Below are 25,097 nucleotides of genomic sequence, written 5' to 3'. Positions count from 1 at the left end.
GCCTCATAAAATCCATTGATACCATATTTTTCTCTAAACCAGAAATATTTAGGCCAAAATGGTTCAAGCTATTTTGATCATTTATTTTTTTTATCTGGTCTGGGACCCTGGGCCTAATGTCTTACTGAGTAAAAATCAATTGCTAGTAATTATACTAGAATAAGTACACAATATTGGAAATCAGAAAACAACCTGATCCTTGAGCCAATCTTCAATACGTTTATGGTGCTGAGTCTTACTTTCCTTAGCTATAAAATAAGAGGATTGGACTAGATTCCTACAAGTGGTTGCTCCCATTTTAATTGCTTTAATCCTAGGAATCTACTATATTTAAAAATCCAAAAGAGCTGTATTAAAGGACAGTGTGACAATGTGAATATGGACGTTGTAGAGAGTTTCAGACAAGTCTTAAATGTTTACAATATAGCCATCCTGCTACATAAAAGTTTGTCTCCCAGAGGATATATCTAAATCATTCTTTGGCCTGCCTTAGCTCTGGGAGAGACTAAACAAGCATCATGCATGAATTGTGCATGCTTGTAAAGCACACAGAAATATGTTATTAGAAAGTAGTATTTAACCTAAATAGAAAATCAGTAAAGTAGCATTTTAAATTATCTTGTAGCCTGATGAAAATTCAATTAGAACATGACACCCAAACATTTAGGAAATGAAGAAGTTTTCTAAGTACTTTAAAAAAGGAAAGAGAGATTGACTCTTCATATTTTCAAGAAGTAATTGGGAGAGTTATGTGAACTGGAAGAGGCCTCAGATGTGAAATGAACTAGGCTTCATGTAAATGAAAGGTATAATGATGGCTAAAACACGTACAAATCAGATAGCACCTGCCTGAAGTACTTAGACCGGGGAAAGAAGGAGAAGAAAGAAGATAGTGTTCAAAATGTTTGCTTAGATATTGATTAGAAGGTGAAATGTCAACTGGGCTTTCTTGCTAGACTGGGTACCTAGCAAACGCGATCCCATGAAATAGGCAAAAAGAAGTAAAGAATATGCACATCAACTATTTTATGTGACATGGTCTCAAGTTAGCGATTGATATACTAAGAGTGTTTGCCTTTGAGATGTTTTTCCCCAGTAATAGTATCTAGATTGCTTGAAGAAATTACTTTAAGTGCTTTAAGAAACCACTTAAAATCTGATAAATTCACTAGATGAATAGAATAGAATGAAAGACCAATGAATTATGCTTTTAATGAATTTATTGCAACTTTGTTGTCATTTTCTACTTCACACTTCTTTTTACCACGTATATTTTATAGCAAAAACACACAATTTTTCCGTGTGGGTGAGAATTTGAGTTATAGCCACAATATTATTGTTGAAGTATGTTTTTCAAAGTGTTTACAATAAAATGACTCTGGTAGTATGTTACAATATTGTGAAAGAATAATAATAATGATCATTAAAAGCAAAGTAATGAACAAAACCAGAAGCCACAAAGAAACCTTTCCAAGAGAGCATTTCCAACATTTTATATAAGGATGAATATATTCTTATATTTCCTTATATGGAGAATAATATATATGACATGCTGGAAGAAGAATAAAATAACTTAAAAAAAGAGAGAACGAACCAAACACAGAATGTACTTATTTTTGTTACTGTTCAAATTATTATGATGGGAGTTGCACAATAATGTTTAACAAGCACAAGCTTCAGACTCCATCACATCTGAGTTCAAAGCCTAAGCCCTAGGAGCTTGGTCAAAAGCCTCAATCTTTGTGAGTCTGTTTGCTCATCTATAATATGTGGATGGCAGTTCTGAGCTTATAGAATTTTCATTATAATTAAGTGAAATCACAAAACCAAATCAGTTCCTCTTAAGTGAGAAAAAGTGGCAAACTTTGTTGTTACTATTTTAATATTTATTATGAATATTTATACTTACTACCTTTTTCAATATCTATAATTAGACAATAAAAATATTTCCATTTTAAGGCATTCAATAATAGCTCTGTTAGCTTATAAAATGCTTCCTTGAGTTTCTTTTGGTTTGGTAAACATTTTTTTAAAAACCTTCATTGAGATTGCTTGGTTTTCAATATGATAAAGTGTAGGTCTCTATTTTAAACATCTTTTCTGAGAAGATAAGTAGCTATGTGATTTGCAAAATGCACAGCTTGTAAGTCTTGTAACTTTAAAATATTTCCCTTCTACTCTCTGCCTGCAGCCCTTCATCTCTCCGTTTCTTGGTCACCAGTTGAGTACAAACTCTCTGGTTTTAAAATGTTATCTATGTAAATTCTTCTGCCACAGCTGGACAAGATGCATTCAAGAGTTTTTCTGTTTCCTGTGTGGTGAAGCAGCTTTCCCCTAACGACTATTTCCCATCAGTACCACAAAGACCTACCTTCTTAACCACTGTTTCAACGGTTTCTTACCACTTCCACCTTTCTGTAGAACATTTCATTTGGAAGGAGAGTCACAAATACTTGTTCACTGGGCTGTTCAGACTGATAACGTCTCTTGGGACTTGAACATTGATGCACAATTCTCATCTGGAAAAAAAATTCAACTGTCAAACATTGGCAAAGAATACCAGAAATGAAAACAAACTCTTTTCTGTCTTAGTGTCACCATAAGATAATTTGTTTTGCTCTCTTAGAGAATAAAATTCTTTACCTTTTTTCTAAAAATCAAAGTAAAAACATTTCATTATTTGTCTATTTTGCTTACTTTAGCAAAAATTTTAATACATTTGGATTCTAAGCATGTGTTTTACTGATAAATGCATTAAATTGTTATTAGAAACTTTAGACCTAAGAATAGAAAATCAAATGAGATTGACAAACATGGTAACATAGGCTTAATTTTTTAATAAGGAATGAGAGAATTCTAGTACTTTATTCTAATACAATAAATAATGTCAAGACTTTTCTTTACATGTTCAAGATTTTTCATCTAAAAAAAGACCCATGTTAATTATTAACTGCAGAAACAAATTATAAGTATTATGTCTACATTTCTTATAAAGAAATAATATCTTAATATAGCCTTTAAAAATCATAATTATTTTACCTGCTCATTTGTAAAATACTAAATGTATTTGAATTATTTTTCATAAATTAAGGAATTATAAAAGTTTAACTGTCATTTGTATATTATATCTTGATCTTTTCATTCATTTTTATTTTCTGGATTTATGGTCTTTGTTCTTATGGTTTTCATTCTGTTATATGTTTCCAAGATATTTTCAAATAGAGTTTTAACTGAGTGATGCTAGATTAGAACATTTTCTAGTTCAAAATATTTGATGATTCAATAACATAAATTATGTTATGGCTCAAAATTACCCCTCCCCTCAATAAGCACACACTGATAAGCAATGACATGTGTGGAATAAAAATGACAAGAAAGTATGGCTCTGTCTCAACAAAAGGCAGAACTGACAGCTAATGTTTGTTATTGCTCTAAGCACCAGAAAGTGTGTACTAAAGAATACTAGGTTTTTAGACTGTGAATAGGTGTTCCACATACAACTACAGACATGCCAATATCTACTGGAATAAATTGGATAATTTCTTGCTGAAATAAAGTTAAGTTGGTATCTTTACACAGGTGTTCTCATAGACTTTGATGTGTTAACACTGTGAACATTCCAGAGAAGGATATGGCACAGATCTCTTGAAGCACCTCCTAAAACTATGAAAACACCCTTCGGCTCTATTAATATGTAAAACAAATATTGGCAAATTGTTGATTAAGAATCTGCTTATGCTGTTTTTCTGTACATTTAAGTAACCACAAATTGTGTTTTTTCTTTCACAATATGTCACTTCCTTTCCATTCTCAATGTCCCCACCCTAGTTTGGGCTTTTGCCTCTCTCTGCCCACCTCTAGTTTCTCTTCTTGTTCCATCCTATGAATTTAATCATATTAATCTTCTTAATGCAGCTCTAATAAGATCACAAATTTCTTTGAATATTTGCCACAGTTTCCTTTATGAAGAGCAAAAATCTTTCAAAATGTAATCTGATATGCAGGGGTATCTATAATGCAATCCCAACCAACTTTCTAACGTTTTTTTTTTTTCAAATGGCATTATTTCTTGACCCACCTGTTTGATGAATTGACCTGGTCACCAGTCATGTCAGAGATTTATTTTCTCTGATCTTTTGATCACATTAGTCCTTTGTCTGGAATATGCTCAACCAGCTTGTTCCTATTGAGATCCAGTGTAGTCCATTCCTTGGTTCAAATTGAAATGAAATTTCCAGCATGGAACTCTCAGATTCTTCCAACAGGACAAAGCCTTCCCCTCATCTGAAACTCCATAAAAGTTTCTTACAAAACTTTTGAGGTATATATCACATCTGTGTGTAGTTGCCTCAGTTGCCTGTCTAAACTGTGAAATGGTTTGGGATAGGAGATAGAACATCAGGGAGAGATTTCTGCTAGGAAGTCCATGGCTTTAGGCAGTGGTCAGTTATATATGAAGTGGGTGCAGGGGCATTCATCTGATGAGTTTATTATTCTGATAAAGTAAATGCTAAAACATTTCAGAATCACTTCTTTAAGAGAAGAGCTACAAGATACTCATATTACCTTCGGCAAAACAGCTTTTATTATTTTATCCTTTTTATACTTTATTGAATACACCAAATTTAGAGTGTGTTTTCCAAATATTTTATATGCCTTCATATTTGCTTTTATTCTTTGAACAGAAGATAGAAAAAAAATTCCTCTGTCCAAAAGAGTACATCTTCTTTTCCTCCTTTTACTAGTGCTATTGCAGTCCTTCAAGACCCTAAACCATGCTAGCCCCAGATAGGTATGTTAACCTTAAAGACAGCGCCTAGGAAATTCTTGAGTGCATCACATCTAAAAATCTCTATTTATGAACATTAGACATTATTGTGATTTTAAAATTTCCCTAAGGCAAAAAATAAACTAAAATATTCTAAGTAGAAAATAAATAAATACATATAAATAATTTTACATTAAAGCAATTAAGAAAATTTCTCCCTAAGACAGCTGTAATTTCAGGGCAACTGTAGAGCCCTACCAGGACTGAAAGATCATCTTACATCTAGGATAATCTGTTCATTAGAGTTGTGGAGGGGAACTCACAAACATGAATCAATATTTCTAATACATAATACTTTATGCTGTAGACCACATCTTTAAAAGAATTCTGTTCTCTTCCAAAGAGCAGTAGGGACATAGACCCCGAGTTATACTTGAGGAACCTTCAGCAAGAGCATTACGATAGATTCCCAACAACTAGAATCCTTTCTTGGAATGCATAATGGAAAGAAAATACCTGCTTTTAAACCTTCCTCTCAGCTTTTACCTTAGGTTCACAACAGACTTGATTTTAATGTAACTAATGTGTCCGTATCCAAGGTTCTTCTCCCATCCTTAATTCAAAGCAATTTTGATAAAAGTAAAGGTGAGTTAGCTATATGGATTTGAGCTCATGTAAGTGAAGGTAGCCTTCAGAGCTACAATTTACATGTGGTAAGGCTTTATTACTTCTGGGCTATCTACTCTCATGTAACTGACAGGTGGTAGGTTAATGTATATAGAACACACACGTATATATTTGATATACTTCCTGCTAATGTGCATGCAGATTATTTAGACATCTGGAATCAATTTAACAATTGTGTGAACTTTACGTAAATAGCCATTATCCGACTTAATGACTTTAGTGGTTGCAGTTGCCAGGGTTGTCAGTGGTCCTGGCATAGGAAATTTGAATTGAAGAAGATTACTTCCCTTTGGGCTCTTTCACTAGAAGATCAGTTTGAATCAAAGAGAAAAATACCTGCTCAAACTCATTATCAAAACTGGATAATGGTAAATGGCAGCCTGTGGGAAATCTAAAGACAATTTAATTTATTTCTCTAATGAAGGGACCAGCATTATTATTTAAAATTAGTCCCTTATCTTACTTATACCTATTCTCTAGGCAAATATTTTAGAATGGATTGGAAGTCATTTCTTTTTAAATTTATACTATTTATCACTCGCTATTGCTGCCCTGAGTGATTTGTACAATATAAATGATTTGGAGGTAAAACCAAGGAATTATGTGGTTTAGGCAGGCTTCGAATTTAATAAAAATAATCCTTTGATGTCTAAAAAAAATTTTATACTATGCTGACCAAATAGAGTGCAGGAAAATATTGCCTCTTTGTTTATTTAGCCCTAATCAATTATAGAAAGGTATCAAACAGGCTTGACTATTTCATTTTTGGACAATTAAATGTCACTTAGTCTCTGTTTTTTAAAGATAGCCAAGAAGAAAAAGAATAGTGCTAAAAATAAGTGAGTTAAAATTCTGATGGAATTTTGATTTTAAATAATGAATAAACATTAATTTTAAAATTTAGAAAGTCCAAATAATTTAGGGGGAAGATAACAGTGAGTCTCAACAAATGACATTTTATTCAGCCAGCAAGAGCAACTATAAATGTAGAAATTGTAAATATCATTAGACTTCTGCAAGGATAATCATTAAGCAGAAATCTACCGATTACTAAACAATTTATTCCACTTGGGTCCTACAAAAATTTATCCAAATTGTGGATTTTAAAAAAAATTCAGATCCAGTTATACTACCCTATTATATAACACATTTCTTTCTTAAAGGTAAAGATAACACCAAGAAAAGATCTCTAACTTTACAAATTATTTAAATATTATTATTTAATGACCTTCTTTTTTCATGCAAAATTATTTTCTTAATTATATCTTTAGATAATATTCTCCCAGAATGAACTCCTAGTATTGTTTATGCCATCTTTCAAAATAGAAATCCAAATTATAGCCTTCTTTTGCAATTTCTCAAATACAGCTATCAGCTTTCAAACAAATTGTTGCCCAGGATTCTCATTCTACCAAACTATGAGATAAATGGGGCCGGGAATGGTGGATCACAGTTGTAATTCAGGTAGTTTGGGAGGCAGAGGTAGGAAAATCACTTGAGCCCAAAGTTCGAGACCAGCCTGGGCAACATAGTCAGATTCCTGTCTCTACAAAAAGCTTAAAAAATTAATTGCATATGGTGGTGTGCACCTGTAGTCCCAGCTACTAAGGAGGCTGAAGCAGAATGATTGCTTGAGTCCAGGAGTTCAAGGTTGCAGTGAGCTGTGATCACACCACTACACTCCAACCTGGGCAACAGAGTGAGATCCCATCTCTATTTTAAAGAGACAGAGAGAGAGAGAGAGAGAATTTTATGCATATATAAACTATTGAAACCTAATGGAGAAAAGGAATAAGCAAGGAATTTTTTAAGTCCTTAGTAATCTCTCACTAAATGTATTAGCTCATAGTTTGGAACTGCCTTTGATACAAATCATCCATTTAATTTTAGATCCCAGGTCATTAATATTTTCCTAAAGCATATGCCACAACATACTACCAAAATTAGAGTGCATAACAACAGTTAAGAACAAATAAATTTCAATTTAAAAGAGTGTAAAATAATATATTATCCTAGGTCTTATTTTAATTCCAATTTATTCGATGTAGCTATTGTATTAGATGAAATGGACTAAAAGAATATAAAGTGAAATATTCATCTATACACCGATAGCATAGATTCATTTTCAGGCTCTAGCAAGTAGCTTAACAAAGCTACTGCTTTTGTTGCAATAATTAATATTTTAAAATGAGGAGAAAGTCTTTGCTGCTTAAGTTGACATATACTTCATACCTAACATGCAAGTAACATGCAGCATTGCTCAGAATCAGCCTTTCCACATATAAAGTAAAAATAACGACCGATATTAGTGAATGTTACCTATGTGGCAGTCAATTTATATACTTGATAATTTATCATTTAGAGAAAAGCTGAGGCTAGAAGGAATTAGCTTGAATATAGGTCAGACTTTTTACATTAGACTCAACCCTGCTTGCTCCATGCATTTAGATGACAAATTGAGAAAAAGGAGGAGGCTTCTGTCAGATAAAGGTGGTAGCCAAGGGGCTCTTGCCACCCACAGCGCTGAGAAGATCAATACATGGCACTCATAGACCCATTTGCAGCGAACCAGCAGGGAATGTGGCCTACAGTACATTAATCTCTATTCTTCAACACAGTAGTCACATTTTAGACATTTGTCAGAGAGTTCAACCATAAAATGACCCACTTGAGATATCTAACACTTCAAAGGTGCAGTCTAAAAATGGACCTATTCCTCATTTTGAAATTATCAAAGCTTTAGTCCTGTTTTAAGATTGAGCTTTCATTCATTTAATTTCTTTTCAGGCCCACTCTGAAGCACAGTGCTGAACCTAAGAACACTTTCAATCTAGATATGTAATGGGCATTCCTTCAACCCATTAATCCTGGATTTATTTATAGTGCTTCTGCTATGTGCCAGGCATGGCTTTAAAGTTATAGAAGAAAACAAAGCACGTCCCTGACCTCAGGAAGCTACATTCCAGTGAGAGACACCTGTTTCTCTTTCCACGTAGGCATTTGATTTTCTCTAATAAACCAATAAGCATGATGAAGCACTCATAACAGAACAATATTACAAAATATTAAGCAGGCTTCGCTACCCACCCATCCTATCTACCCCTGCAACATGCACACACATTGTCTTTCAACCCATTGGTGCTCCCCTTCCTCACTCCTTTGCTACTACAGGGCTTGAGGCTCCCATTGCCTCAAAGGAGAGGTATGACAGAGCCAGAAAATCATGATGTCAGAAAACTATTGGCTTTATGAAAATATGACTGTCCAAGGATTAAGAGAGAAGAGCTGGAAAAGTGCAAAGCATTTTCCTCTGCTCTAAATGGAGATGAGATTAAAATTTTAAAAAGGATAAAGGAAAAACCACCTCTGAAAACTTGGAGAGAAAGAGAATGGGAAAAGAAAGCAAGAAAGTCAGACTCAGGTGAGGGTCTCTTGAAAGAGCTGAGGCATCAGCTCCAGGAGATGAATGGTAGAATACCAGGAGAGAGCTAAGGAATTCTAAGCAGAAAAGACCTTGCCATTTTATGAAAGGGAAGAGAGAAAAGTTTTAGATAATCCTGAACCATGGTAATAGTTGACATGAAATATCAGCATACTGAATCCAGACGAAACCTGATCCAGCTCCCTGGTCTCTCATTTTGCAGAGTGCGCATTTTGCAGAGCATCTCAAAATGACTTCTCCTTTTAAAGGTGTGAGAAAGTAGGGAGAGAGAAATTAGGCTGAGAAAACAGAGAATGTGTGGACTGATGGCAACTTGGACAACTCCGTGGAGGCAGAAAGGGCCAGCAGAGAGTGATACACCCTGTGGACACCGACAGACATTTGGTGACCGAGGACTCAGTGTTCTCTCACCCATCTCTCAACAACTTTAGGACTCACTATCCCTAAATTAGACGCATTCAAGGGAGAAGAGGTTTAAGGAAAATCTGAAATGACTGAGTTTAAACCTTTATTTCCTAAACTTACTCAAAATTGATGACTATTACATCTTCTGATTTGAATCACATAGGGTCTTTAAAGAGAGATTTGGTTGAATTATATAAAAATTTAAAAATTATATTTTTATACCTAAATGCTCCATTAGATATATTGTCCATGTTACAAATATAAAGTAGTGGACAGTGCATATAATATTATCATTAAAGTTGAAGTTTAGATGACAGAGTCAAAAGGCATTCATCAATATTTATACTTTGCTTTTCAAATGAACTCAACTATCCTCTTATTTCACTGATGAAAATCAGTGTGAGTTATTAGTCTTATTTCAACATGATAACATTAAAAATATTGGCTTCCTGCGTGGTTCATAATAATACTTTCAATTTCAATTTCAATACTTCACTTAGGAAAGGTGGATAAAAACTTTTCTTATGTCAACTCATTAGTCTTTGAAAGTTTTAACTAATAAAATATTTCCAACTAATATTTTTATAAAAGACCTAAAATGATTCTCCTTGTGAACAAAAGACACTTAAAGAAAATAAGATAAAATTCCCACTTTATTTTTAGTGTCTTTTTTGAGCTACTTACTGACATCATGTATAAATAATATATTACTTATTAATAAAATAAATTATGCTTTGAAATAAAATTATTTAACAGATTTAACACAGGCCTGTGACTATAATGGGGTAACTCTTAAATCTATAGACACCCAGGCAGGGTTAACTGAGAAACATTCAAACATTCACCACAGATTGCATATACAGCCAAACAGTAGAAAGAATAAAAGTGCTTCTGGGGGTCATATCTTTTGGCTCAATGGGTAACATATTTAGGTACTAAACAAAGAAATGCAACTCTTTGTGGTTTTTGAAAAAAAAGGCACTGGATCATTTTAGATTAACAAAAGCAAAGAGGATTAATGCTGTTTTTAATCAGAAAGAAAATTCAGCTTTACCAGACTCTGTTTATTACAGAAAATTCAGACCACTTCAGACAGAACTGAACATGATTACAAATAAATCACTCTTTTTCTTCATGGCTGTTTACTATTGTGTTGTATCAAACAAATAAACAAACACACACATAAATAAAATGCTTACTCCCTCTAGGTGAAAAAATCTCAATGTCAGTTTTAACACATATTCTATTTCTGTCATGATTTCCAGATTTTCACTCAGGTGGTCCTATGACTAATGTTCTTTAGTTTGTTAAGGTGCTGCCCAGCACTGGATGGGCCATTAAAGAAGTGCTCTGATCATTGCAGAACAAAATGCAACAAAAGCCTGTCTCAATCCGAATGCCTCCTGTTCACTGATGCAATTTAAGACTGAATTAGTATTTTATGAAGTCAAATCACATTTTAGAGACATATTATTGCCAAAAAACCAATGTCTCTTTCACATGTCTGCCTTGTCCATCCTGCACTAATACAAACAATTTATGTTTGTTTGTTTTGGACTAGGTATAGGACTCCACATTGATAAGCATAGTTTTTATTATCTATTCAGAATTCAGCAAATTAAAAATCAATTTGGAGGCATAATATGGAGGCTATCTAAGGATAGTATTGAGTGAGAATAACCGAGGCATAGTCACATAACACTGGAAAAACGAGACAGAATTCAATCGTAGCACTGTTACAAGCAAGCTGAGTGGCCCTAAGTCAATCATTTCGCCTCTCTGGGAATTAGTTTCCTCATCTATACGATCAGCAGTTTGAAACTGCATGATCTTAGCTGCAGTATAATTCTAAGATTGTGTTCTTTTCTAAGTTTCATTTTATTAATTTTGTACTATGACCAATGATATGGTTTGGCTCTGTGTCCCCACCCAGATCTCATCTTGAATTGTACTCCCATAATTCCCACATGTTATGGGAGGGACCCAGTGAGAGATAATTTGAATCATGCAGGCGATTTCCCCCATACTGTTCTCTTTGTAGTGAATAAGTCTTATGAGATCTGATGGTTTTATCAGGGGTTTCCTCTCTTGCATCATCCTCATTTCCTCTTGCTACCACCATGTTAGAAATGCCTTTCACCTCCCACCATGATTCGGAGGCCTCCCCAGTCATGTGGGACTGTAAATCCATTTAAACCTCTTTTCCTTCCCAGTCTCGGGTGTGTATTTATCAGCAGCATGAAAACAGACTAATACAGTAAATTGGTACCAGTCATGGGGTGTTGCTGAAAAGATACCCCAAAATGTGGAAGCAACTTTGGAACTGGGTAACAGGCAGAGGTTGGAACAGTTTGGAGGGCTCAGAAGAAGACAGAAAAATGTGGGAAAGTTTGGAACTTCCTGGAGACTTGTTGAATGGCTTTGACCAAAAGCCTGATAGCAATATGGACAATCAGGTCCAGGCTGAGGTGGTCTCAGATGGAGATGAGGAACTTGTTGGGAACTGGAGCAAAGGTGACTTTTGTTATGTTTTAGCAAAAAGACTGGCAGCATTTTGCCCCTGCCCTAGGGATTTGTGGAAATTTGAACTTAAGAGAGATGATTTAGGGTATCTGGCAGAAGAAATTTCTAAGCAACAAAGCATTCCAGAGGTGACTTGGGTGCTGCTAAAGGCGTTCAGTTTTAAAAGGGAAGCAGAGCATAAAAGTTCAGAAAATTTACAGCCTGACAATGCGATAGAAAAGAAAATCCCATTTTCTGAGGAGAAATTCAAGCTGGCTGCAGGAATTTGCATAAGTAACAAGGAGTCAAATGTTAATCCCCAAGGCAATGGGGAAAATGTCTCCAGAGTATGTCAGAGACCTTTGTGGCAGCCTCTCCCATCACAGACCTGGAGGCCGAGGAGGAAAGTGGTTTCATGGGAAGGGCCTAGGGTCCCCGTGCTGTGTGCAGTTTAGGGACTTGGTGCCCTGAATACCAGCCACTCCTTCCATGACTGAAAGGGGCTAAACATAGAGTTTGGGCCATGGCTTGAGGGTGCAAGCCTCAAGCCTTAGCAGCTTCCATATGGTGTTGAGCCTGCAGGTACACAGAAGTCAAGAATTGGGGTTTGGGAACTTCTGCCTAGATTTCAGAAGATGTATGGAAATGCCTGGATGCCCAGGTAGAAGTTTGTTGCAGGGGCGGGGCACTTATGGAGAACCTCTGCTAGGACAGTGCAGAAGGGAAATGTGGGGTTGGAGCCCCCACACAGAGTCCCTACTGGGGCACCACCTAATGAAGCTGTGAGAAGAGGACCACCATCCTCCAGACCCCAGAATGGTAGATCCACTGGCAGTTTACAATGTGCACCTGGAAAAGCCACAGACACTCAACACCAGCACATGAAAGAAGCTGGGAGGGGGGCTGTACCCCACAAAGCCACAGGGGCAGAACTTCCCAAGACCATAGTAACCCACCTCTTGCATCAGTGTGACGTGGGTGTGAGATCTGAAGTCAAAGGATATCATTTTGGAGCTTTAAAATTTGACTGCCCCACTGGATTTTTGGACTTGCATGGACCCTGTAACCCCTTTGTTTTGGCCAGTTTCTTCTATTTGGAATGGCCGTATTTAGCGAATACCTATACCCCCATTGTATCTAGGAAGAAATTAGCTTGCTTTTGATTTTACAGGCTCATAGGTGGAAGGGACTTGCCTTGTCTCAGATGAGACTTTGGACTGTGGACTTCTGGGTTAATGCTGAAATGAATGAAGACTTTGGGGGACTGTTGGGAAGGCATGATTGGTTTTGAAATGTGAGGACATGAGATTTGAAGGGGCCAAGGGTGGAATGATATGGTTTAGCTCTGTGTCCCCACCCAAATTTCATCTTAAATTGTACTCCCATAATTCCCATGTGTTGTGGGAGGGACCCAGTGGGAGATAATTTGAATCATGGGGGCAGTTTTCCACATGCTGTTCTTGTGGTAGTAAATAAGTCTCATGAGATCTGATGGTTTTATCAGGGGTTTCCACTCTTGCATCTTCCTCATTTTCTCTTGCTGCCCCATGTAAGAGGTACATTTCACCTCCTGCCATGCTTCTGAGGCCTCCTGAGCCATGTGAAACTGTAAGTCCAATTAAACCTCTTTTTCTTCCAAGTCTTGGATATGTCTTTATCCGCAGTGTGAAAATGGACTAATACAACTTTACTCTATTTTTAAATCTTAGCATTTTTCATCCGACTTTGCTTTTATAAGTGTACCTTTATTTTTATCCAAGCCATTGATTAAAATGTTGAATAAGACAGTATCCAATGCATGTCACAAGAAACCTAACTCAAGGCTGACAGTGATTTGAAGCTTGGTATTCTTTGGGTGTGGTTATTCATAACTGGAATAATAACTTTATTATTATTCTTTCAACATTCACTCATTTTATCTGCAGGAATATCTTGGAAAACTGATTAAATGCCTTTTAGAAATCAAGATGTATCCTGACAGCTCATGTCAGTGTGCATGTTCAGATCTCTGAAAATTAACCTTGAAGGAAGCTGAGAAAGTTACACTTTATCTCAGTGTTAGATTATAGTAAATGGGTGAGTCAGAAGGTGCTCTATAGAAGGAAAAAATATATTTGAGATACAGATCTTTTCCCACCACGATCCTCCCCTTCTTCACAGACATACACACACACATACACATAGACACACACACACACACACACACACACACACACACTTCTGTTTATTCTTACTCCTGATGTAGTTACAGGCAGAACACTATCAGTGAGTCAGTTGTTGAGGAGATGAAGCGACTGAGAGCCAGTGAAACTGTGTCATACACAGTGGAATCTGAGACTGGTCACACTCAAACAACACACCATGTGTTTGTTTGTGTCTACTAACCTATGTTAGTAGAAACACATCATGTTAGTAAGGAATCTAAGAGTAGAGAAACTCCCAAGGACGATGCCAGATCAGCTCTCCTCAGTAGGTAAGAAGAGGCTGCAGTGGCTAGAATAGTGTAGGCACTCTGAAGTTATTTCCAGGTGGGCAAGACGCATTTTTGCAGCTGAGGTCCAGAGGAGCTGGATAATGTTAACTACTCAAGAGATGAAGACACAAATGAGATCACATATTTCCAAATGTGTTCATCATACCTGTGATATTCTCCTGCTACACAGTCTAGCTCAATCTGTACAAGCCACGAAAACCACAGAGGGATGAACAGGAATTTAAGGGCAGTTGCCTCAATAAAGAGTCACAATTTCTTTCCTACTGCAGAACTTGTAGCAGTTTTCAGTCCAGGAACCCACTGATGGGAGGAGATGCCAACTCCTCAGGGGAAGGACCCAACATTACCATGAAAAGTATTTAGGTAACAATTCTCCAGTCCTTCCCCAAAAGGTCTGTGGCCATTTGCTTAGGTAATTGTTCACTGGGGAAAGGGAACACTGAAATAGTTCAAGGACTGTTTCATGTAGGACTCGAGTTGACCTAGATAAACAGGGGCTGAAAGAAACACCATGGCTGCTATATTAGATTAGGTGTGAATGAGGGCTGAATAATAAGTGCAGGTTCTGGAACAGGTCCAGCTCACCGTGGGTCTACTAGGGCCATGGATGATCATTTTCTTGGTCCTTGGTATATAATTAAAGTAAGCACACCTTATTATTGGAAACAATCCCACTCTGGTTCCTTGGCCTGTGAGGTAGGGGATATTGTAAAAAGAAATGCCAAATGGAAGCCTCTGAAATTACCCTTGTACTCTACAGTCAAGAGAGTAAATCCAAAATAATATCTTATTCTGGAAAAATAGCCACAGTTAGTGCCATTATTAAAGACCTAAGGATCCATGGGAGGTAGTCCCGATGATATCGCCATTTATTCACCAACATAAAAAAGTCAGATGGATCTTTGAGCGTGAAAGTGAGCTACTGTAACTCAAGTAAATTTATGCCTTAATTGTAGATGCTGTGTCATATATGATATCTTTTCTGGAGCAGTGGATTAGTTCCTTCTTGCATTGCTTTAAAGAAATACCTGACACTGGGTAATTTATGAGAAAAGAAGTTTAACTGGTTCACAGTTCTGCAGGCTCTACAGGAAGCATAGCGACATCTGCTTCTGGAGAGGCCGCAGGAAGCTTCCAATCATGGCAGAAGGCAAAGGGAGAGAAGCCTGTCACATGTAAGCAAGAGCAGGAGAATGAGTGGGGAAGTACCGCACACTTTCAAATGACCAGATCTCACGAGAACTCACTCACTAGTAGGATTTGATCAGCTCACTATGGGAGTGTTACAGAAAATAGATACCATGAGCAGAGATTCTGGCAGCAGCTGGGCCACCTTCTCTTTTTTATCAACTCCTATTCCAAGCTATTTGACTCTATTAATGCAGGAGACTTTGGAACCCATGGAAAACTGGTATAATTGGGATACGATGTCTGTTAAAATCACAGCAGAAAGAACTGTGGCAGGGCAAGCTACTAGAGTAATGCATTATTGCCTGGGAAAAAGGAGAATAAAGAAGTAGATTGTAGGAAGACTCTAGCTTTCACAGATTTGTGGAAGGAAGGAAGAAGCTTTATATCTTCTGGACCTATCCTATGATTCTTTCATTTTTTTTCATAATTGCTCTCTTATATTTTGGGAAACCATAAGAAGAAGGGTGACATTCTTCTGAATGAATATATAAGGTGCCTCTGGCCCCTAGAAGATTGAGAGGGGCAGTGATGAATGAGTTCTCCTGTCCCTAGAGGCTGAAAGAGTTCAAGGGAGCTAGAGAGTGAAGAGAATTCCTCCAGGTCCTTTGGCAAGAAACAGGCAACCCTCTAAACTGTGGGTGTCAGAACTATTCTGCTTTTCTTAGCCATGGGATTCTAAACTCTTAGGAAGCTCCAACCTCTAGATCTGAGCTGCATGAGACAAGAAGTCAGAAATAACAACCTATCTAAAATTTCCCACCAGTCAGAAAGGATGATCAGGCAGAATAATCAGGGCATATTTGCAGTGAAGCAAAACTGCTTGTGGGGAGAGAGAAAAATACAAAATATAACATTCAGTACACTTGAGTTTCAAAAGTCTGTCTTGTGCTAAAACAATAGCAAAGCAAAATAAAACAAAAAATCATTATTTTAGGGTAAGCAATATAATAGTTGAACTGAAAGAGAATGGCCAATATAAAAATCATATGAAGTAACTTAAGAGGTCAAGTACAAGTAACATTTCTAATGACAAAGCAAAACTATAGAGAGATGGCTATCATGAGGGAAAAGATAAAAGGACTGAAGACTAGATTCATGACAGACAACATAAATGATAGAATTTTCAGAAGAAAAAAAACAGAAATAGGAGAGACAGTAATTGAATAAATTATTTAAGAAAATTCCCCTGACATGAAGAAAAAACTAAAGTCTGTGCAGCAAAAGGACTTTAAGAGTTCTAAACTAAACTGATGAATAAAGAAACAAATCTAACATTTTATCCTGGTGAAATTCCTAAAGTCAAAAGTTTTTTAAATATAGACACCTCCACATAGAAATAAAAGTTGTCTGCAAGGTTTGTGGAGAAAGTATGTTTGGCATGGTATTTCTTATTAGTAATAGTTGACACTAAAAAGGGGGAAAGGATTTATAACTCGAGAATTATGTAGCAACCTGAGATATTATTTACTTTAAAAAACACAAAAATTTAGAATATGTACCACACAAATACTCTGCATGAAAAAATTACTTGAAAAAAGACTCACACCAATCAAAAGGGAATTTAAGAAATAAGAGGAGGAAGGAAGGTGGTGATCTATTTACCTATCCACCTATCCATTCATTCGTTCACCTATTAATTTACTCATTATCTTTTTTCAATCTATTTTTTCTATCTTAATAAATAAAATCTAGTAGGTTATTTAATGCTAAATTTAAAAATCTTGAGGCCGGCCGGGTGCAGTGGCTCACGCCTATAATCCCAACACTTTGGGAGGCCGAGGCAGGTGGATCATGAGGTCAAGAGATCGAGACCATCTTGGCCAACATGGTGAAACCCCGTCTCTACTAAAAATACAAAAATTAGCCAGGTGTGGTGGTGCATGCCTATAGTCCCAGCTACTCGGGAGGCTGAGGCAGGAGAATCACCTGAACCTGGGAGGTGGAGGTTGCAGTGAGCCGAGATCACCGCCACTACACTCCAGCCTGGTGACAGAGTGAGACTCTGTTTCAAAAAACAAAACAAAAAAAATTTTGAGGCAGCCAGATGTAGTGACTCATGTCTGTAATGCCAACACTGTGGGAAGCCAAGGTGGAAGAATTACCTGAGCCTAGCAGTTCAAGGATGCAGTGAGCTGTGATCGTGCCACTGCATTCCAGCCTGGGTGATAGAACAAGACTCTGTCTTAAAAAAAAAAAAAATCTTAAAATTGAAATGGCATCTTGCAAATAGTGGAGAGACCTAATGTAATTTTTTCTAGGTTTTCATCTTCCTTTGTTATTGTTTTGAGGAATGAGAAAGATATCAAAGAAAACTGAGTGTTGGCTGAGTAAGACAGTCTATCTCAACTGAGAGCATAGTTTATCTTCTTAAAATAATAGTAGAGTCATAGATATCTAATAAGAAGAGCAAGAAAAGGGGAAAGCATTAACAGAATGGAAAACTATAACTGAAACAAAAACAAAAGATAACATAAATAGTAATTTGTTCAAATAAAACAATAAGAGAAAAAAATAATAAGAAATTTAAGCCAGTAGTAAACATGAGATATACTGATCTCTACTCTGAGAATGGAATGAATTTTGCCATTAAAGGTAGACTCTCACATTGAGTAAACATAACACCAATGTACTTAATGTTTACACAGTCATGCTTAAAACAATTGGTAAGGAGAATTAGAGAGTCAAGGAGTGAACAAAAAGATAAGAAAAAATGCAAACCAAGAAAGCAGAAGACTCGATGTTAATACCAAAAAAGGTGGCATTTAAGGCTAAAAGAAATATAAGAAACATGAATGGCCATGATATAATGGTAAAAGCTACTATAAATTGCAAAGTTTCAACAGTAATGAAATAGTGAGCATTAAATTCTGTACCAGCATGAACAAAGTCATAGCTGAAATTATAAAGAAATATTACAGAGCAGGTCTCAAGCATGGGCAAACTCCCTGTCTTGATGGAGTGGAAGCTCCAACTGACTTGATGAAATGTTTTTGTTTTTTTTTTTAATTTTTTTTTTTTATTATACTCTAAGTTTTAGGGTACATGTGCACATTGTGCAGGTTAGTTACATATGTATACATGTGCCATGCTGGTGCGCTGCACCCACTAACTTGTCATCTAGCATTAGGTATATCTCCCAATGCTATCCCTCCCCCCTCCCCCGACCCCACCACAGTCCCCAGAGTGTGATATTCCCCTTCCTGTGTCCAAGTGATCTCATTGTTCAATTCCCACCTATGAGTGAGAATATGCGGTGTTTGGTTTTTTGTTCTTGCGATAGTTTACTGAGAATGATGGTTTCCAATTTCATCCATGTCCCTACAAAGGACATGAACTCATCATTTTTTATGGCTGCATAGTATTCCATGGTGTATATGTGCCACATTTTCTTAATCCAGTCTATCATTGTTGGACATTTGGGTTGGTTCCAAGTCTTTGCTATTGTGAATAGTGCCGCAATAAACATACGTGTGCATGTGTCTTTATAGCAGCATGATTTATAGTCCTTTGGGTATATACCCAGTAATGGGATGGCTGGGTCAAATGGTATTTCTAGTTCTAGATCCCTGAGGAATCGCCACGCTGACTTCCACAATGGTTGAACTAGTTTACAGTCCCACCAACAGTGTAAAAGTGTTCCTATTTCTCCACATCCTCTCCAGCACCTGTTGTTTCCTGACTTTTTAATGATTGCCATTCTAACTGGTGTGAGATGATATCTCATAGTGGTTTTGATTTGCATTTCTCTGATGGCCAGTGATGATGAGCATTTCTTCATGTGTTTTTTGGCTGCATAAATGTCTTCTTTTGAGAAGTGTCTGTTCATGTCCTTCGCCCACTTTTTGATGGGGTTGTTTGTTTTTTTCTTGTAAATTTGTTTGAGTTCATTGTAGATTCTGGATATTAGCCCTTTGTCAGATGAGTAGGTTGCGAAAATTTTCTCCCATGTTGTAGGTTGCCTGTTCACTCTGATGGTAGTTTCTTTTGCTGTGCAGAAGCTCTTTAGTTTAATTAGATCCCATTTGTCAATTTTGGCTTTTGTTGCCATTGCTTTTGGTGTTTTGGACATGAAGTCCTTGCCCACGCCTATGTCCTGAATGGTAATGCCTAGGTTTTCTTCTAGGGTTTTTATGGTTTTAGGTCTAACATTTAACTCTCAATAAATTAGGTATTGATGGGACGTATTTCAAAATAATAAGAGCTATCTATGACAAACCCACAGCCAATATCATACTGAATGGGCAAAAACTGGAAGCATTCCCTTTGAAAACTGGCACAAGACAGGGATGCCCTCTCTCACCGCTCCTATTCAACATAGTGTTGGAAGTTCTGGCCAGGGCAATCAGGCAGGAGAAGGAAATAAAGGGTATTCAATTAGGAAAAGAGGAAGTCAAATTGTCCCTGTTTGCAGATGACATGATTGTTTATCTAGAAAACCCCATCGTCTCAGCCCAAAATCTCCTTAAGCTGATAAGCAACTTCAGCAAAGTCTCAGGATACAAAATCAATGTACAAAAATCACAAGCATTCTTATACACCAACAACAGACAAACAGAGAGCCAAATCATGAGTGAACTCCCATTCACAATTGCTTCAAAGAGAATAAAATACCTAGGAATCCAACTTACAAGTGATGTGAAGGACCTCTTCAAGGAGAACTACAAACCACTGCTCAAGGAAATAAAAGAGGACACAAACAAATGGAAGAACATTCCATGCTCATGGGTAGGAAGAATCAATATCGTGAAAATGGCCATACTGCCCAAGGTAATTTACAGATTCAATGCCATCCCCATCAAGCTACCAATGACTTTCTTCACAGAATTGGAAAAAACTACTTTAAAGTTCATATGGAACCAAAAAAGAGCCCGCATCGCCAAGTCAATCCTAAGCCAAAAGAACAAAGCTGGAGGCATCACACTACCTGACTTCAAACTATACTACAAGGCTACAGTAACCAAAACAGCATGGTATTGGTACCAAAACAGAGATATAGATCAATGGAACAGAACAGAGCCCTCAGAAATAATGCCACATATCTACAACTATCTGATCTTTGACAAACCTGAGAAAAACAAGCAATGGGGAAAGGATTCCCTATTTAATAAATGGTGCTGGGAAAACTGGCTAGCCATATGTAGAAAGCTGAAACTGGATCCCTTCCTTACACCTTATACAAAAATCAATTCAAGATGGATTAAAGATTTAAATGTTGATGAAATGTTTAAGGCAGCAAAGTCAGTTATTTTAACTAGTGTACTCAGTGTCTACATACAAACATGGAGTGAAAATATGTTAAAACAAATCTTATTTACACATGTCTAGTTGAAGCATGCCCAAAGAGAATGTGTCATGAAAACCTAAGAAGAAAGACCATTCATTTATGTTAAAGGCCAGACAAATAATAGATCTCGCAAATATATACTTTTTTGTCACTTCTCCCTCCTCTACTTCAGTGCTTCTATGCTCCACCCAGATGCCCAGTAAATCACCTATCTACTCAAAGAGCCGGCCTGAAGCTTTCTGAATGTTTTTCTGAAAATAATCTTGTCTTCATTCTATTTACTAGAAAGGGAAATGGAAGAGGGTTGACTGACTCCGTTTAGAGCACTAATTTATCTTAATTCTTACAAATAATCAGATAATATAATTGCAATTGCCTTTTTGCCTATGCATAAAGCTAACCAACTCAAACTGAAGAGGCAACATTGAATCTCTTTTCCTGCTTAAGAGTTAGGCTAAAATAAAACTATCTTAATCCATTCAGTTAATTGTTTAATGTATAACAAGTAATATGCTTATTGACTTTTGTTCTTAGGGAAGAAAACTCTGAAGATTAAAAATGGGGAAGAAAACCAAAATGATTTATTTGGAACACACAGTTGACTAAGGGATAAACATATATATACAGAGATAGATTAAACAGCTTCTATTATAGCTAATCTATGAGACAGTGTGTTTATGTCAAATAAACTTATTTACCTTCATGTTAACTTTTAAAATCATACTTAAAGTCTATCCCCAATTTCCATGTGCCTAAGGGGAATAATGGGAAGAAAATATTACTTGCTATATTAACCATAAATTATAAATTTTACTTAAATTTACAAATTATAAATTATAAACTTAATTATAAATTTTACTTAAAAATTTTGAAGTGATATAAAAAAACACAACATGAAAACAATGCATATCATTATGTATGTTTCTGAGATACTCATTTATTATTTGTTAAAACTTTTAAGAGGAAGAGAAAAATATAACAGATTTTCAAGGGGGAGGAAAAAGATGAATTCTTATATGGGTCAGAATATACGCAAACTGAAAGTAAAAATTAATCCAGATTCCCATTATCTTCAGTTACATTATAATTCTTCATAGTTATATTTTCTAGAGAAAATAAAGGAAAAGTAGTTGAACAAAATGCTCAAGATGTATACCTTTTCCATTATTGCAAGATGCCAATGTTCAAGGGCAAGGGTGTTGTTATGAGTGGCAGGAGATGTGAATTGCATTCCCTTTTCCATTGCCAACTTGCCAAGTGGTCTTGGGTCAGCAAATTTATCTAACTAAGCCTCAGTTTCTTCAACTGTTAAATGATAGGTTAGACTAGAGAAAAACTATAGTTCATTTCAGTCCTAAAATAATTATGGTTATGGTGTCATAGCTAAGTAGAGACATTGGGGCAGCCTTTAATTATTGGTGGTGTTACTACTGCTCAAGCCATATGGAACTTCTTTAACCTTGGCTATATCCATAATAGAACAATAGCTTGCCACTTAAAAGAAAAACTCTCCAAAATATTTCATATGCTTGCTATTCAAGTTTATTTCCAAAGTGGACCAAAGGCCATTTTCCATAATTTTATTGCTAACAAACTGTACATTTTCTTTAAAGAATAGTAATAAAGGTGATGCAGAATGAGAAAGAGATCCCCAAAGGGAAGATTCTTCCCAAATATTACCATAAGAATTGGATCATAAAATGGTTAGAAGTGGAAATTATACATATATAGTTTGAGCTTCTTCTGAAAATTGAAGTCTGACAGTGTTTTTATTTTAATTTGGTGAAAAATAATAGTATAAACTTAATGAGACATTCAGTCCTCCTCTTTGATTAAAATAATGCCAGATGTTAGAACGACAAGCACAAATCCTTCCATTCATGTTTCACTTTCTTGTTTTCTAAGAAGAGAATGCAAACAATATGGATTTTTTTCCCCCGGTCCTTCTCTTCTGCTGTACACGTAAGAATCTGGTGCTATCTAGCTATTCCCTCAGCTTAAGCAATAATAATAATGAACATTTGTTGAGTGCTTATAATGTAAGTTCTAGCCTAAGTACCACACAAGTGTTATTTAGTTTATTCCTTATAACAATCTAGAAGGTAGATATCATTATAACCTTCCATTTGTAGATGAGGAAACCAAAGGTCAGAGAGGGCCCAGTGTTGCACGGAGAGGAAGCAGTGTGGCAGGCCACCTGGCTTCGGAGCATGCATGCTTAGCCACCACAGGATACTTCCTCTCCACCCTATAGCACACATGGAAATAAAGACATAAAAAACTTAAATGGAGTTCACTCGAATTATATAGATCCTTATTGGTAAGTTCTGAATAAAATTCTGGTGGCAAGCTCCTTAAAGTTCCAATTCCAAGCACAGAGATGTTCATGGAAGGTTTTACATAACACGTGTAGAACCTGTCCATGGCTGGGTTTTCTTTTGTTCAGTTTTGGGTCTCAGCACCTGGAAGACTACCTGGCATATGGTGAGTAATCTCTGTGTATTTATTCTATAAATTAATATTTTAACATAGCATTGGAATGAAAGTTTTAATCTGAATAAATCTATATTTTAGAACTCAGTTTTGTATACTCGTTTAACTTGACACTTTTGAAGCATCTCACTGTAATTCAAATGGTATGAACTGAATTAACACTGTTTTTTGAACTTTGTGAGAAGAAACAAAATTATTAGATATTGTTAACAACAATTATAACAAATTTAGTTTGTTCATCATTTGATCTTCTTTTCAATACAGCTTTTCATGTTTTATTTGAGGAGAAAAGAAGAATGCCAAAACTCATGTGGGTTCCCTCTTAAGTCTAACATGTACTTTTCTAAAATAACAAATGTAACTGAGAAGCTTGCCTGGGTGGTATAAAAGAGTCAGTTAATTGGTAGTCAGCCTTTCTTTTTATAGTTGACTATAAGTCTAAATGTTGATTTAGGAGAAAGATACGTTTTTACTAAAGAAAGCCCTATATGCTATATTAAAAGTGGGATGACTTTGCTTTTTTAAAGAATCCATAAGCCCCACCCATCTCCTCTGAAAAGTTCAGACTGCCATGTGGCTTTCTAGTGTACAAAACTTTTGCTTTCCTGCTATATCTCTTTCCTAAGTCAACATTCGCATATTGACCCAAACAGATTGGTCTAGCTTGTACATCAGTGACAGCAACCTGTCATTTTCTGTCTTAGAATATTGTAACTTCATTCATTCTTATACATTTTCTTCCCTTAACTCCAGAAGTTTTTCTAAAAGCCCATATTTTTAGATTTTTCAATTTAAAAGCCAAGTTTTAAAACGAAGATTTAGGGACTATATTTCCAATAATGTTGCAAAACAGAAGGCCCTTATAGCAGCATAAATTTAAAAAGGTGAGATAATTAAATTTTCCAGAGGATAAAAACTCCATATTTATAAAAATATCAATTCTCACATATTAGTTATATTTTAAAACATTTAAAAAGTAATATTTGTCTTTCATTAAATAACATTTATCATCAGCCCACTAGTCATTTACTTTGTAAAAATATGTTGATTTTCAGTACTCTATAGAGTAATAGAAGTAATGGAGCATTTGAATCACATGCTTTCATAAAAACAGACAATGTAAGATGAAATCTATAATAGTAAAATTAAGGTGATTATGAAGTAAGTACTTTTGAAACTTTATACTCTTATGTATTGTTTTACATTTGCAATAAAATACGGACACATTTTATGGAGAAAAATCACTAACGATTATGTTGAGAAAATTACATTTAAATTCATATATAACCTTTAATGTTTCTTTTATCATTCAAAACTTTATTTTTTCTCATGTTATTTTATGTTTTAAATTATTCATAAATGACATAAAACATTAGCCTCAGAAATATAATGTATTGTATTGAAGATGAGACTCTTTCTTTCCATATATATACACATATATGTGTACATATGTATACACACACATATATACAACATTTAAATAGCTAAGAATTTTTGACTTCTGTGTATCAATCAACAAGTTAAATATTGAATACGTAGTATCTCATTATTATTCAAAAATCCTCATGAAATAGGTATGACAATTTTATTTCTACCGATGAGGAAATAGGCTTAGAGAGTTTGAGTAATTGCCTAAAGTCACATAGCAAATGAGAGAAAAAGCCAAAACTTAAGAGTTAGGAGGTAAGCTACAGCAAGGCCTCTGTATCTTACTGTTCCACTCATCCCTTCAAAACATCTACTAAGGGCCAGGCACTAGGTTTATGCCGCTTACTTTTGGTTGGGTGTGGCTGACATCAAACCAAAATAAATATATATATACACCTACATA

At 35.8% G+C, this 25,097-nt stretch overlaps 1 long non-coding RNA gene across 1 annotated transcript in view; it reads right to left on the bottom strand.

Annotated features, from left to right (window-relative positions):
- The window catches only part of LINC01221 (long intergenic non-protein coding RNA 1221), a 60,603-nt gene that overhangs the window by 32,661 nt on the left and 2,845 nt on the right, over positions 1–25,097 (bottom strand). The window contains exon 2 of the long non-coding RNA NR_126351.1: positions 2,403–2,519. This is a non-coding gene — a long non-coding RNA (long intergenic non-protein coding RNA 1221). The remainder of the gene's footprint in view (positions 1–2,402; positions 2,520–25,097) is intronic.

This window comes from Homo sapiens, chromosome 1 (assembly GCF_000001405.40).
Source record: "Homo sapiens chromosome 1, GRCh38.p14 Primary Assembly".
Lineage (NCBI taxonomy): Eukaryota > Metazoa > Chordata > Mammalia > Primates > Hominidae > Homo > Homo sapiens.
The sequence above is the reverse complement of the archived record's forward strand: the minus strand, read 5'-3'. Positions and strand labels throughout refer to the sequence as shown.